Source organism: Homo sapiens, chromosome 12 (assembly GCF_000001405.40).
Source record: "Homo sapiens chromosome 12, GRCh38.p14 Primary Assembly".
NCBI classification, from domain to species: Eukaryota; Metazoa; Chordata; class Mammalia; order Primates; family Hominidae; genus Homo; species Homo sapiens.
In genome coordinates this window covers 1,837,689-1,851,182 of record NC_000012.12, presented here as the reverse complement: position 1 = coordinate 1,851,182, position 13,494 = coordinate 1,837,689, and the positions used below count along the sequence as shown (strand labels likewise).

Here is a 13,494-nt window from a genome sequence, read left to right as displayed (position 1 = left end):
GGTCGGGTGTAGTGGCTCGTGCCTGTAGTCCCAGCCACTCAGGAGGCTCAGGTGGGAGGATCACTTTAGCCTGAAAGTTCAAGACCAGCCTGTGAAAAATGACAAGACCCCGTCTCTAAAATAAAAATAATAATAACTTAGCCAGATGTGGTGGTGCACACCTGCAGTCCCAGCTACTCAGCTGCTCAGGGAGGATCACTTGAGCCCAGGAGGTGGAGGCTGCAATGAGGCATGGTCATGTCACCACACTCCTGCCTGGGCAACAGAGCAAGACCTCATCTATTTTTTTTTTTTTTTTTTTGAGACGGAGTCTCGCTCTGTCGCCCAGGCTGGAGTGCAGTGGCACAAGCTCGCCATTCTCCTGCCTCAGCCTCCTGAGTAGCTGGGACTACAGGCACCTGCCACCACGCCTGGTGAATTCTTTGTATTTTTTTGTATTTTTAGTAGAGACGGGGTTTCACCATGTTAGCCAGGATGGTCTCAATCTCCTGACCTCATGATCCCCCTGCCTCGGCCTCCCAAAGTGCTGGGATTACAGGCGTGAGCCACCGCGCCTGGCCAACCTCATCTTTTTTTAAAAAAAAGAAAAAAATATGTTTCTATGGCAGAAATAAAAACATGAGCAAGGTAAAAAGAGAAATTACAAACTGGAAAGGTGTTTGCAACTTATAAAACAGATAAAGGGTTACTCTATATATTATGTATTCACGACAAAGGACTTTGAAAATTGAGACTTAAGAGGTCAACTACCTTAGAGGGAAAGTAGTCAAGAAATACGAACAGTTCAGAGGAAAAATGCAAATAGTCCTTAGAAGAACAATTCAAATAGTCTTAAAATATAAAGAAAAACAATGCTCAACCTAACATGTAATCTGAAATGCAAATGACAACTATGCCCAGATTGGACTTCTCGCCTCTCAGACTGAAAGCCACCTGAGCTTGTCAGTGTGCACTGTTGGCAGAACTGTGGGGAGTCAGGCACTCGTAGATTGTGGGTGGGATACGAAATGTTTCAAACCCCGTCGAGGGGAATTTGATGACGTCTAGCACAATTTCATGTACATTTACACTTTGACCCAGCAACCTCACTTCTAGGAACCTTATCCCAAAGATACACTGGCAAAAATATGAAAAAAATGTACCTATGAGCTGCTCATTATAGCACCTTTAATAACAATAGAAGATTGGAAACAACCCAAACGTTCATCAGTGGGAGCCTAGTTACATAAATCATGGTGGATCCACATAATGGAATTCTATGCAGCTGTGAAAAATTAGAATATCTCTATATACTGCCACTATGAAATCATCTTCAGTAATGAAAAAAGTATGAATAATATCTCCACTGCTTATCTAGAAAGAGAAAATACAAATATATTTTCATAATTACTTTCACAAAGGTACATATAAATGTACATGCGTATATGTATGTACACATACACACACGTACTTTTTAGTGGAACAAGGAACCAAAAGTCAGGTTACCTACAGGAAGAGTGAAGGAACAAGGAGATGGATACAGAGACAGACTCCCCTGAATAGGCCTTATTCTCCATATTGACTTTGGAACCATATAAATGCTTTATCTAATCATAAAACAAAATTAAATTTTAAAAAGTAACCTGTAGTAATTGAAAGCAAATGAAACAGCTAAACCTAGCCATATATCAAGTTCATTAAATAATCGAACATACGGGAATTCTTTCAAGGGGCTTTAGAATTGTAAACACTAAATAAATAAAATGTTAAGCAGTCCTCAGTAATCACATTGCTAGAAATAGTATTGGCATTGTTATTCTGAATAGAGAGAGCAAATTGTATTATATTAATGTCATTAAGAACCAAGATCTTCAGCAAAAGGGAAAAGAGATATGCAAATTTCAAAAATCAGAGAAGTTAAGATTAGATGGAATGCTAAATTTGAATTAGAAATATCAATTTGAACTCATGATGTATTTCTCTTAAAGAAATTAAAAGGATATCCTAGCTCTCTCCCCTGAAAGGGCCCACCGCAGCAAGTGCCCCAGCCCCAGACTTCGGACTTTCAATGTCAGTCCTCTTTAAAATGAGCCCATGATCCTAGAAGAAATGTCTGATTCCAGGACAGGGGCAGGAAATACGCACAATGAACCTGGAACATCTTGTCGTATGAGGAAGCAAGAAGTTACCAAAGACAAATGATATTGTGCCCAAGGGACCCCAGAGCCAGCTGGAGGAGGCCCTCACTGGCCAAAGGTGGATGATCAGAGCAGCAAAAGTAATTATAATCACAGCAGGAGCTGGCTGTGGAGGCACGGCTGTTATCCCAGCCTCATGGCAGGCTCAGGCGAGAGGATCGTTTGAGCCCAGGAGTTCAAGGCCAGCCTGGGCAACGTAGTGAGAACCTGTCTTTAAATAAAAATAATAATAATAATAATAATTGCAATGGGTTAAAACATATGAAATATATTAAAATACTTGGGTTCATAATGATACTGGAAAAAACCTCATTGGCCATCTTTGGAAGATTGTTAGGAAAGCAACTCATTATTCTAAAACCTAACAAAGAAACAAAAAGAATAAATTATTTATCCTGCCTCTTCTATAAAAGTTGTACTTCAGGATAACTAAATATTGATGAGGAGAAGTTTTTCCTTATACAGATATTTCGGGTAAAAATAAAATAAGAAATAAAAGAATGCATGTATTTTTCATGCCCTAATCAGTCAGAGTGTGTGCCTCTTGTGAAGAACAGCCTTGTAAAAACACAAACCGGAACCCGGTCAGGCCCTGAGGTCTCACGGCCAGTTGACAGGCAATGCAGGGGACACAGAGCAGGCTGAAGAGCACCCCAGGGTGGCAATCCGCCAAGGCCAGAACCGGAGAATCCCCACAGGCAAGCGCCCTTTGTCGCTCTGTTTGTTCCACACATCGATTGCAAGGAAAAGAGAAGGGGAGAGGGAGAGTGGAGAGAGAAAGGGAATCAGGTTAAAGGAGGCCAAAGATGACTGCTAATGGTTATGGGGTTTCTTTCCGGGGTGATGAAAATGTTCTAAAATTCACAGTGCTGACGGTGGCACAACTCTGTGAATACATGAAAAACTATTGAATCACACACTTTAGGTGGGTGAATTGGATGGTATTTGAACGATATCTCAATAAAGACAGAGAGAGACAGACAGACAAATAAGAGATACCCGTTGCCATGCGTGAGCCTTAGGCAGATTCTGATTCAGCCAAACTTAAAAAAATTCGCGAGGCGACTGGATTATCTGATCATATTAATGAATTGTCAGGTTTTTTTAAGGTGTAATAATGGCATCGAAGTTTTTTTAAATGTTATTTCTATTTTGATTGTATAAATTAAAATATTTACCCATGAAATATCTGGGATTTGCTTCAAAATAATCTAGTTGAGGGGCTGGAGGAGGCAGTGGCTGAATTGAGACCAGCCCCGGGTTGGTGATTGTTGAAGCCAAATTATGGGTAGTGAGACCCATTAGCCCATTCTCTCTGCTTTTACACAGAGAATTGAATCAGGAAGCTTTAGGGGAGCTTAGGCCCTGTCCCCAGAGAGTCTGACTCAGAGGTCTGGGGCAGGGCTCTGTGCAGCTCGAGTCCTATGACTCCCATGCCCACCCTGTACAAGCCCCCTGGCTACAGGACTGGAGTAGGTGGGGGAGACCCTTTCCCTCAGTGATTTTCCAGACCTTACTACAGTCCCGGGTACCACCCACAGACACAGGTCTATCCATGAGGAAGACCCCCGCAGTCCAGCCTCTGAGCCTGGCAGTGCTTTGGAATTGCCTACTTTGTATGCTCACTATAGCACACACCCTTGGGCATGGAGAGGAACTAGGTAATAGCCTCCTATCCACTGTGCCAAAGACAAGAATATCATCTGGGTCAAAAGAGATGACTTCCCACCCTGGTCAAAGTATTGTGGCTTTGAGACTGGGAGGGAGATATGTGACGCCAACTAGCTCATGGATCTGTCTTCTTTCAAGTCTCAACGGCAAGGTTATGAGGTCCGTTGGGACTTCTCCTGGGTGGGTGTATGCAGTGCCTGCTCCCCCTCCCTTCACGTTTCGGTAAGAAGGGAAGTATGAGGAGGGCTGTAAGACCAGGAGGTGCCTGGTACGTGCTGGGCATGAGAAGTTCCTGTTCCTTAGGTCCCAGGACAGAATCTCCCTTCCAAGTTCCATCTTCTAGATCGAACTCCCCAAAAGCCAGGAGAACAAATTAAGAGCTAGATCTGCCGAGGCAGAGAGGCAGAGGCCCAGGGCTTCACTTCACAGGGGTGCTGCCCGGAAGCCGGGCCTGAAACCTGATGGGCACCGTGGATGCCAGCAGGGTGCGTGTCCCGGCCCCTTCCCAGGAACCCAGCCTTCCTGGAAAGTCTTCCCTGAGCCAGGCCAGGCAGGAGCAAGGAGAGGCCCCCAAACCCCTGCAGGTCGCCCCCAAGCTCTTGCCACAGCCATGTGGTGACCATTCCCGCTCTGTCTGCCACACAGGGAGTCTGAACACGTGGTGGACATGGCCTTCCTGGGCACCCGGGCTGGCCTCCTGAGAAGCAGCTTGTTCGTGGGCTCCGAGAAGGTCTCCGACAGGTGGGTTGGGCCGGCCACCTCGGGAGGGCAATCCCTGCAGGGCAGAGAGGGCCAGAGTCCCATGGTGTGTTCCTGGGCCATGGGTGGACTGGCACCGGGTCTCCAGCATGCTGGACCCCTGGGAGCCCAGCAGGGCAGAAGGATCGGGATTGACAGATTGGGGCAGTGGGAAAGGCAGCCCTTCCCCGAAGGCTTACGGATCGGGATTGACAGATTGGGACAGTGGGAAAGGCAACCCTTCCCCGAAGGCTTACACATCCTGGTGGTGGGTCCCTAGAACAGGATGGAGGCCGGACCAGTCAGGGAGAGACTTTGAAGTTGAGGGTTGGTCGGAGAATCCACCTAGAGGAATCTCTAAGGGACAAAGCCGAAATTGCTTTCCTCTCTGGGCTGGTCTCTGTGTGACAGGCTGAATCTTCTGGCTGTGTCTCTTTTCCCCACTCCTAAGGGGAGAGGAGGTGCTGCTGGGGCCCTGTGGTAGATGGAGTGCTCACCCCGCAGTGCCTTCTTGAGCCACCCACTCCCACCTTGGTGTGGGAGATTTGCGGTCTCTTACTCTACCTGGTAGGAGTCCAGGCCCAGCTCCCTGTAGGCCATGGAAGACTTAGGCCTCCACACCAGGAATGTTCAACTGGGGGTGATTTTGTGACATTCAGCGATGTCTGGAGATACTTTTGGTTGTCACACTGTGGGAGGCAGAGAACTTCCTACTGGCACCTAGTGGGTGGAGGCCAGGACGCTGCTAAACATCCCATGATGCACAGGGCAGCCCTCACAGCAATCGCCTGGCACAAAATGTCACCGGTGCCAAGGCTGAGAAACCCTGCTCTAAGCCAAGGCTGGGTTCTGGGGGAATCAGGGGCTGGCCCACCCGGGTGCTCAAGGGAGGATGGGAGCCCAGAGGAGGGGTTAGGGGCCGAGCGGTGCCACCTGCCGCTTCGCAACCCAGGAGACTCCAACAGGTGAGGACCTTCAGGCACCTGGAGAGCAGCCCAGGGCCCCTGAGCCGACCTGACCCTACTCTCCTCGCCTCCCACCCGCCAGCTGCTCCTCTCGCTAAGCACGCCCAGCCACGGAGCGCCATCTTTGAGCTTCTTCCAGGACTCTGTGACAAATCCACACTTGCTAAGCAAAGCTGAGGCTTTCTAGGAAAACAAATTAAGTTGCTCTTCCCTTTCCCTCCCTCCTCCCTCCCCTCCTCCCCCCCACCCATCCCTGCGGAGGTGGAGAAGGCAGAGCACCACTGCCTCCCTGACCCTTCCCTCGCCCCCTCTCAGAGGCTTCTAAGACTGGAAGCAGGAGATTCGAGGCAGACAGACCTTCCCAGTGCCTCTGCCTCCTGCGAGCACTCCCAGGGGCTCCCTTCACCCAGACTCGAGGTGAATGGCAGCCCAGGAACTGTGTCACAAGGCAGGTTGCTTCTGGTACATGTGAGCCCGTCACTCTCAAAACCAAATCTCAGTTATCCACCTTGTGGATTATCCACAGCAATGTCTGCTCCCCACCCCCACCCTGCTTCTCCCTGCCTCCCACTCTGCTTCTGGCCGAACACTCCCTTCTGTGGGCTGCCGTGTGTTCAGGGAATGCAAAACCATAATTAGCAAGGTAAAGCTGCTCAAAAAAAGGAAACTCATAATGTATGCAAAAACCTAGAGGCAATCCTGTTGAAGGAACCATTTGGGGGGATTGATGCCCTCCTATTAGTGCAGTGATAGAGCTGACTACAGCTTCCTCCCTCAGACGTGCCAACGAGCCAGACAAGAAGAAATTGGGCTCTATCCAAAAGAAAGAATCCCTGCAGGCAAAAGAGTTTACATAAAAATGGAAAGTATCCCCTCACTCTACAGACCCTATGCCTCTTCCAGCTGCTAGCTAGATGCAACATGACATCGTTTTGTTTCTGGAAAAGGCGAGAATTGCTGGGAAGCATTGTCTGGGGCCGTACTAATTTAGGGGCTAAAATCACTCTCTTAGCCCAGCCAAGTTGACCTTGTGTGAGAAAAGGAAAGAGTGATGACTGTGTTCACAGATCTGGGGAGAGGTACCACATCTTCCTCCTTGCAGGAAGTTCCTGACACCTGAGGACGAGGCCAGCGTGTTCACCCTGGACCGCTTCCCGCTGTGGTACCGCCAGGCCTCAGAGCATCCTGCTGGCAGCTTCGTCTTCAACCTCCGCTGGGCAGAAGGACCAGGTAACACACAGCCCGGTGCTCCCGGGGCTGGGCCAGTCTCAGGCCAGTCTCATCTCTCCTCCTGCTGTGCTCTTAGTGGGAAATGGGAACGAGATATGGAATAGAATGTCCAGACCACCAGGGTTCCCCTCCTGCCTTCCCTCCTGCATGCATTAGTGACTTAAAAAAGCTCATTGGCACCTTCCCACACCACAGGTCCCACGCTGAAGGTGAGCCTGATCATTTGATTCCCTAGCCAGCCATCAAAGTTGGAGTTTAAAAACCCAGCATGGGATTCTAGCCCCAATTCCAAATATGAGATCAGAAGAGTCCATCTCTAAGATTCTTCTATTTATCCTGCATGTCTGTGAAAGCTTCATAAACCACCCAGACGGGTGGTTTCATTAGGGGCTGCAGTACTCACTAAGTCAGTGGGGCTGCCCTGCTCTTCCCAAACAGAAAGAAAGCAACCCGTCCCCAGTTACCCAGGACCACCCAGGACCAGCCTCAGGGAGCTCCCAGCCTTCTCCACAAGCCCCTCTCAGCTCAAGAGAGAGGCTGTGCCAGGCAGGTGGTGGGGAGGGTGGGGTATGAGGCAACCACAAAATCCCTGCACGGCCAGGGACCAGGAAGACTCTCAGAGTTGATGGGCACCCAACTGCCAGCCAGCCCCAGCCCCCATTCTGGAAAATAACCAAAATAAGAAAAATTAAGTGACTCTAACAGAGCACCGGAAAAATCCTGCAGAGGCTTCAGTGTCTGCATAGCCTGGTGCTCTTGATTTACACTCGAAGTGACTGTGGCCCAGGGAGCTTCCGGGGCTTGTCCAGGGATCCCAGAGTGCATGGCACAGCCACCCCTCCACCACCCCTCCACCAGGTGAGTGCTGGGGCGGCTGATCCCATTCCAGCACATGGATCCAGGGGCCTGGAGAGTGTGCACAGGCAGGTGGGGTGAGCCCCAGGAGGGGATGCAGGAGTGTGGAGACTTCTAAAAGGAAAGTCAGGGCTGGGGTCACTCAGAACTTCCCCTTTAGGACGCCCTTCTGCCAAAGGCCTTCCACCACCACTTTGCCAAACCATCCTCAAGCGTCGTGATGGAAAAATGTCCTGGAGCTGATGGCTGGGGAGGCCCAGGATCCCGGGGATCCTCCTGGGACCAGGACAGGGAAGGCAAACAGCAGGGAGGAGCTCCACCCCGCCCCCTCCGGAATCCCGCCTTCCTCACCTGGTGCTATGCCCCTACTCCCACCTGTGCTGTTCCCTCCACACACGTGCAAATAACTACTATGCTTCACAAAACAATTTTCCACGTGTTTTTCATTTAATCTAGACAACCCCATGAGATAAGTGCCGTCATTATCCCTCAACTTACACAAGGAGAACGTGAGGCTCAGAGAGGTTCTGTAACTTGCCCGGGGTCACACAGCAAGGGAGCCACAGAGCCAAGCTCTGCCCTAATCCAAGCCCAGGCCCCGTTACCACACTGAATGTAAGGAAAGAGGGAGGGGGAGTTTTTATTACCAGTGCAAGCCCAGCAGGAAGGCTCTGGAAGCAAAGGGGAGACCCCTTCCCACACCGTCCACCCCAAGGCTGAAAGAGGCAGCTCCTCCTCTGTGGCCACACCCTCGATAGCAGCACATTGGGCTCCCCAGGGAGGGCACCCACAGGCCCCTGGAGAGGTTCTATAATGAGGCCCCAGCCCCTGCCCCAGGCCCTGATGACAGGTCCCCTCCTGCCCGCATTCACCAGGACTGAGCCTGCTGGCTGCTGGGGGAGCTTTATGTGGTGATGAGGTGGGAGGGTGGGTGGGTGAGAAGCTGAGCCACGAGGAGAAAAGAGGGAAGCTGGAGCCCAAAAAGGGGGCCTGGTGAGGAGGGAGGCGGGGCCCACTTCCTCTCCACAGCCCACTCACTCGCTCAGCGCACACACACGCTTAGACACATGGCCACCTCTGCACACTCCCTTCCACCCCAAAAGAAGGAAAACAACCGCGTTTCAAGGGGGAAAAGAGGACGAGCTGCCTCCAGGGTGAGGGGAAGCTCGCCTGTCTCTCTAGGCTGACATGGTTGCCCTTTGCCGGGGCCTGGTGGGCTAAGTCCCGACCACGTGGAGCTGCATTGTGCAGTCAGTGCCTAGAAACCTGTCCGCACACAGCAGAGCCTCAGAAATATGCCCACAGCCCACCTCTCCCTGGGCCCCGCCCCCTTCTGCACTCCACGCCCTGATCATTCCCACCAGGTGCTGGGCCAGGTAGCCACGGTGAGCCAGGCACTGAAATCCCTGATGTCCCCAGAGACTGCCTCATTAGGGTCTCCACATGCTCACATCTGCGTTTCCTACAAGCCTCTGCTGGCTGGGGTACAAATGCGACGGAAGGTCTGTCCCAGAAAATGGGCTGTGGGACCCAGGGAATATTGTCGGGGCTGCCACATCACCACCTTCGAGATGTCTGTAGACACAAGGTGGGGAATTGTCCCTTCGTCATCATGGGGCAAATTTCTAGAATCAAGGACAACCTTACATATTGGAAGTTCCTGGAATCAGACTGCAGTTTTAGGTTTCTTGAGATATTTGACGACAGCGGGTGTGATGGGTAATCTTGGTGACGTGGCAGATGTGAGAAGCTGGTGGTTAAGTCCCGGGACAATTGACACTGTTGTCATAATCGCCACACAAGAGTCCCATGACCTGTTTGCTTCAGGCAACATTTGACATCAAGACATTCTAACAAAATGTGATAGCACATCAGAAACTGTTTGCCCCTTTCTCAGAAGTTGAGTCTGCATTTGACCTGCAGACAAGAGTGCTTTGAAATTCAAGTCCGGGGCCAAGGACTGATGAGAATTAAGAAGCCTGAGGCCCCGAAGTAGCCAGCCCCAGTCAGAACCAGAAAGCTCTGTTTCAATGTGGAGCTGAAACTGCCCTCTAAACTGTGCACCTATGGTGGCCTGATTGTTCCAGAAGAAGTGGAGAGAGCAATGCGAGGCAAGCCCTGTGGCCTTCAGGAGCCTCAGGACTTGCCCTGAGTTGCTGCAGAGTCCCAGAAGTGGAGCAACAGCTGAGAAGCAAGTGAAAGACCCGGAGAGCGGTTGTGCAGTGGAGGGTCCGTCATCTCGCTGCCCAGGGCCGCATGGTGGCTCGGCTGTGGCATCTGGCTTCCTGATTGGGACTGACTGTCGGCGTCCTCCCTGACTCACGCAGACTCACAGAGAGCAATCCAGGATCACCCACCACCCAGTGCTGAAATGCAGCCTGTCCTTCCTGCCGTTGGAAGGGATCACTGGATACAACACAGGTGTTGTGGGCAAAATGCATGCCGCAGCCGACAAACACGCAGAAACCCCAGTGTCGTGGGGCCACTGCAGCCCTGCACTGTGCTGGCGGCCAGAGGCCATGTGTGTGTCTGTCCAAGACCCGTGTTGGGGTCACCATCACAGCAGCAACTTCTCCAAACACAACCCCTGTCCCCACCCTCGCCTCAATTCTTCCAAGGATGCCTTCGCCTGCTTTTATTCCCATCTCCTATTCCAAGAAAGTGGTAGCGCTCCACCTGCCCCAACCACAGCTCTTCCCCATGACTGGGTTGTCTCTGTTTCCCCAGAAAGTGCGGGTGAACCCATGGTGGTGACGGCAAGCACAGCTGTGGCGGTGACCGTGGACAAGAGGACAGCCATTGCTGCAGGTAGGAACGGCCCTTGTGGTGTTGAGGCCAGGAAGCTGGGGACAGTGTAAAGAGCAAGGCATAGATCACAGCAGAAGGCCCTGCACATGTGGCCAGGGCCACAGTCCTGCCGGTGGAATGTGGGATGGGTGGAAGTGCACTCTTCCTAAGCCATTTCATTTGTAAAACCATAAAACTTTGGATGTGAAAGTATTCACGAAGTGAGCAAAATGAAGCCCAGAGAGGCTAGGAGATCTGCACGGCCACACGGAACAGAGACTGCAGCCCAGCCCCCCGCCGCCCCCCACCCACCCCCCTCTTCCACATAATATATTTACCGTATGCAAGCTTCTCTTGAGAAACACTTCCTGCGGGTTAATAGAGCATTACTGAGGCATTCTGTAGCTGAAAGGAAGGCTGGCGGGTTAATAGAGCATTACTGAGGCATTCTGTAGCTGAAAGAAAGGCTGGCGGGCAGAGCTCTTTTATTCTAGGTCTTTTATCAATCATCGTCATCATCATAAAGCTAATATTTACCGAGTATTTACAGTGTGGTAACTTCTTGAAAACTTTGCTGTTGAAAAGATGACCTGAAGACCAGCAGCGCTGAAATTGCGTGGGCCTCTGTTAGAAACACATAGTCTCAGGTTCCAGCCCATACCTGTTCAACCAGAGTGCGCTTTACTGAGATGCCTACTGATTTGCCTAAACATTAAAGCTTGCGAAAGCTCTTTTGCAGTATTAACTGATTTAACCTTTACAAATATTTTAGAGTGTAGGTATTACTGTCAGTGCCTATTTTATAAATGAGGACCATAGGCTCAGAACGTTTGGCTCAAAGCAACCCAACTAGCGGGGATCGGATGCCATAATTCAGTCCAGACCTGTCTTTTCCCCCAAAAGGTGTTACTAACCACCAAGATGCCCTGCCTCTTTATAGAGCAAACAGTGGATGCTGATTCCTGTGCCATTCCCTTACCTGCTCCGTCTCCTATTGCCTTGGGGTCTCGTATAAGAGGGAAGTGGGACTGTGACTCGAACCCCTGAGGCATGAGCTCAGTGTGTGTGTTCAGCGTGTGCCGGGCACTGTGGACTGCCTCCCATGTGGTCCTTGGGGTGACCCAGTGAAGGCGATGGTTCTGGCTCTACTTTACAGCTGAGGGGACTGAGACACAGAAAACTTACTTGCCCAAAGCCCCACAGCTAATAATGAATGAGGCTGGGATTTGAACGCAGACCGCCTCTCGTTGGAACCCAGGTTCACTGCCCTGTGCTGCGGTTTGCCATGGCTTACATGATGAGAGCAACTGTGACCCTCACAAGCTTCTCCTGACTTTCAGTTTCTTCGTGCCTGCAGAGTCCTTGGTGTCTCTGCCTAGCTGTCTGAGAACGATCAGGTCCCTGCGATGAAGCGCTCCTTACCCTTGTTTTAGCTTCAGTACCTGGGACCCAGCTGTGTTCTGAAAAGTTGCGCGATCCAACAGGCATTCGAGCTCAGCCATCCTGGCTCCGTGAACGCAGCTGGCAGGCACCTGCCTTGTAACCGAGGCCCTGGCCAGGTGAGGACTCTCGCAGCAGGATGGGGACGGAGCAGACAGGGTCAGGGCAAAGGGAATGCAAAGGAGCCGGCTGGGCTCTGTCTTCCTGCCTCAGAGAGGGCACCAGGGCCATCCTGAGTTGGGGTCCTGGGCTGTGTGCCACTCTGGGATAAGCGACGGGGGGAGAATGGCTCCGTCTGACATTGCCAAATTGCCCGGGTAGAAGCCCGGTGTCACTGGTCGTGTGCGATGCAGCCACCTGCAGCACTTGGAAGGGATTTGTGCCCGCCTGGCTGCCGTGCTTCCCTGGGCCCAGGGCACACTAAACCCAGACCCAATTTCCAGGCCAAACTTTGACTCCGAAATCGTCTCCCTACAGACTGTTCTGTGCTCCCAGCCAAGCCTGCGCCTGTGCTGCTCCCACGTGATGGGGGCCTTCTCAGCTCCTGTACACCTGAAGGTCTAGGAAGGATGGGACAGGGGGTCAGGCTGCTGGCTGTGCTTTCCTGCACTCTCCAATTATTTGATAGCATTTTTAACTCAGAGCTGAATTAGAGCCGAGAGGGGTTGCCATAGAAACAGTGTCCCAGTGCCTCCAGTTTAACTCACTGCAGACAATCGCTCTTACACTCTGGGGTGCATGAATGTCAGAGGAAAAGAATGGGGTGCTGGAGACCTGATACTTCAATTATGATTTTTCTTTTGGTCTCCTTCTGCCACTTCCTCTCCCTGGCCTGTGGCTCAGCCTCCCTGATCCTGGGGCCAGCTGGAGCCTGTAGCTGAAGGAGGGGTAGGTGGTTCATTTGCTGTCCCTGGAAACGGCTGGCACTGTAAGCGTGTGAGCGCCAGGCCTGCTGAGTGTGGTGTCTGTGGTGGGGGCTGTATGGTGACGATTGCGCACCGAGCTCGAGGGGAAGGTAGGAGACGGGCACTCAGCCCAGCCACGGGGGCAGTGGCGGGCTGCGCGTCACTGCCGTGTATAACACCACCGGCTCACACAGAGGGCAGCGGACCAGTAGAGATCGCGTTCATCCCTAAGCAGGTGGTTTATAGACAGCTACTGCAAAATTTCCAGAGATCTAACTTTTGGATCAGGATCTGTTTTCAATTCTCCATGTCCTCCAGGCCCTAGGCGAGGAATGAGGTCAAGCTCCAGGATGGGGCTGTAACGGGCAAGTGATTGTCCAGCAGACGGGCATTCTTCCAGCATGACTTGTAATGTACACAAGCCCCTGCACAGAGGCCCTTCCTGCCGGCCAGGGCTGCAAGAGTTCTCCCCTCCTGAGAGGTCAGCCTCAGTACAGGCCCAGCCTTCAGACCTTTGAGGGCTTCTATCTGGGAACCATGACATTTGAATTACACACATAAGCATGACAGAGACCTGTGCCAGGCCTGAGAGGGGCCCCGTTCTTGCTTCTGCAGTGGGGCTCGGGAAGACTTGTCTTGGGCCCTGCTATAATTATTAGGGCTATAGGAGAGCAACATCCCTACACTTATCACCACCTGGGGAAGGCGGACACCCCAGCTCTGCCA

The 13,494-nt window shown here is 51.6% G+C and overlaps 1 protein-coding gene across 5 annotated transcripts in view, besides 1 other annotated feature; it reads left to right on the top strand.

Annotated features, from left to right (window-relative positions):
* The window catches only part of CACNA2D4 (calcium voltage-gated channel auxiliary subunit alpha2delta 4), a 126,690-nt gene that overhangs the window by 67,470 nt on the left and 45,726 nt on the right, over positions 1-13,494 (top strand). For 3 of the 5 annotated variants that reach the window (NM_172364.5, XM_047429897.1, XM_011521041.3), the window contains 3 exons: positions 4,494-4,589; positions 6,654-6,781; positions 10,364-10,444. In NM_172364.5, coding sequence (NP_758952.4) covers positions 4,494-4,589; positions 6,654-6,781; positions 10,364-10,444 — 305 coding nt within the window. Of the gene's footprint in view, positions 1-4,493; positions 4,590-6,653; positions 6,782-7,796; positions 8,062-10,363; positions 10,445-13,494 lie in introns of those variants that run through there. The other 2 variants (XM_047429899.1, XM_047429898.1) reach the window with 1 other exon arrangement.
* Positions 6,234-7,190: an enhancer, noted in NCBI's record as "H3K4me1 hESC enhancer chr12:1953159-1954115 (GRCh37/hg19 assembly coordinates)". NCBI's record gives its function as "activates a minimal SCP1, AML or CMV promoter by ChIP-STARR-seq in naive H9 embryonic stem cells {active_cell/tissue: H9 hESC(naive)}" and the evidence as "EXISTENCE:reporter gene assay evidence [ECO:0000049][PMID:30033119]".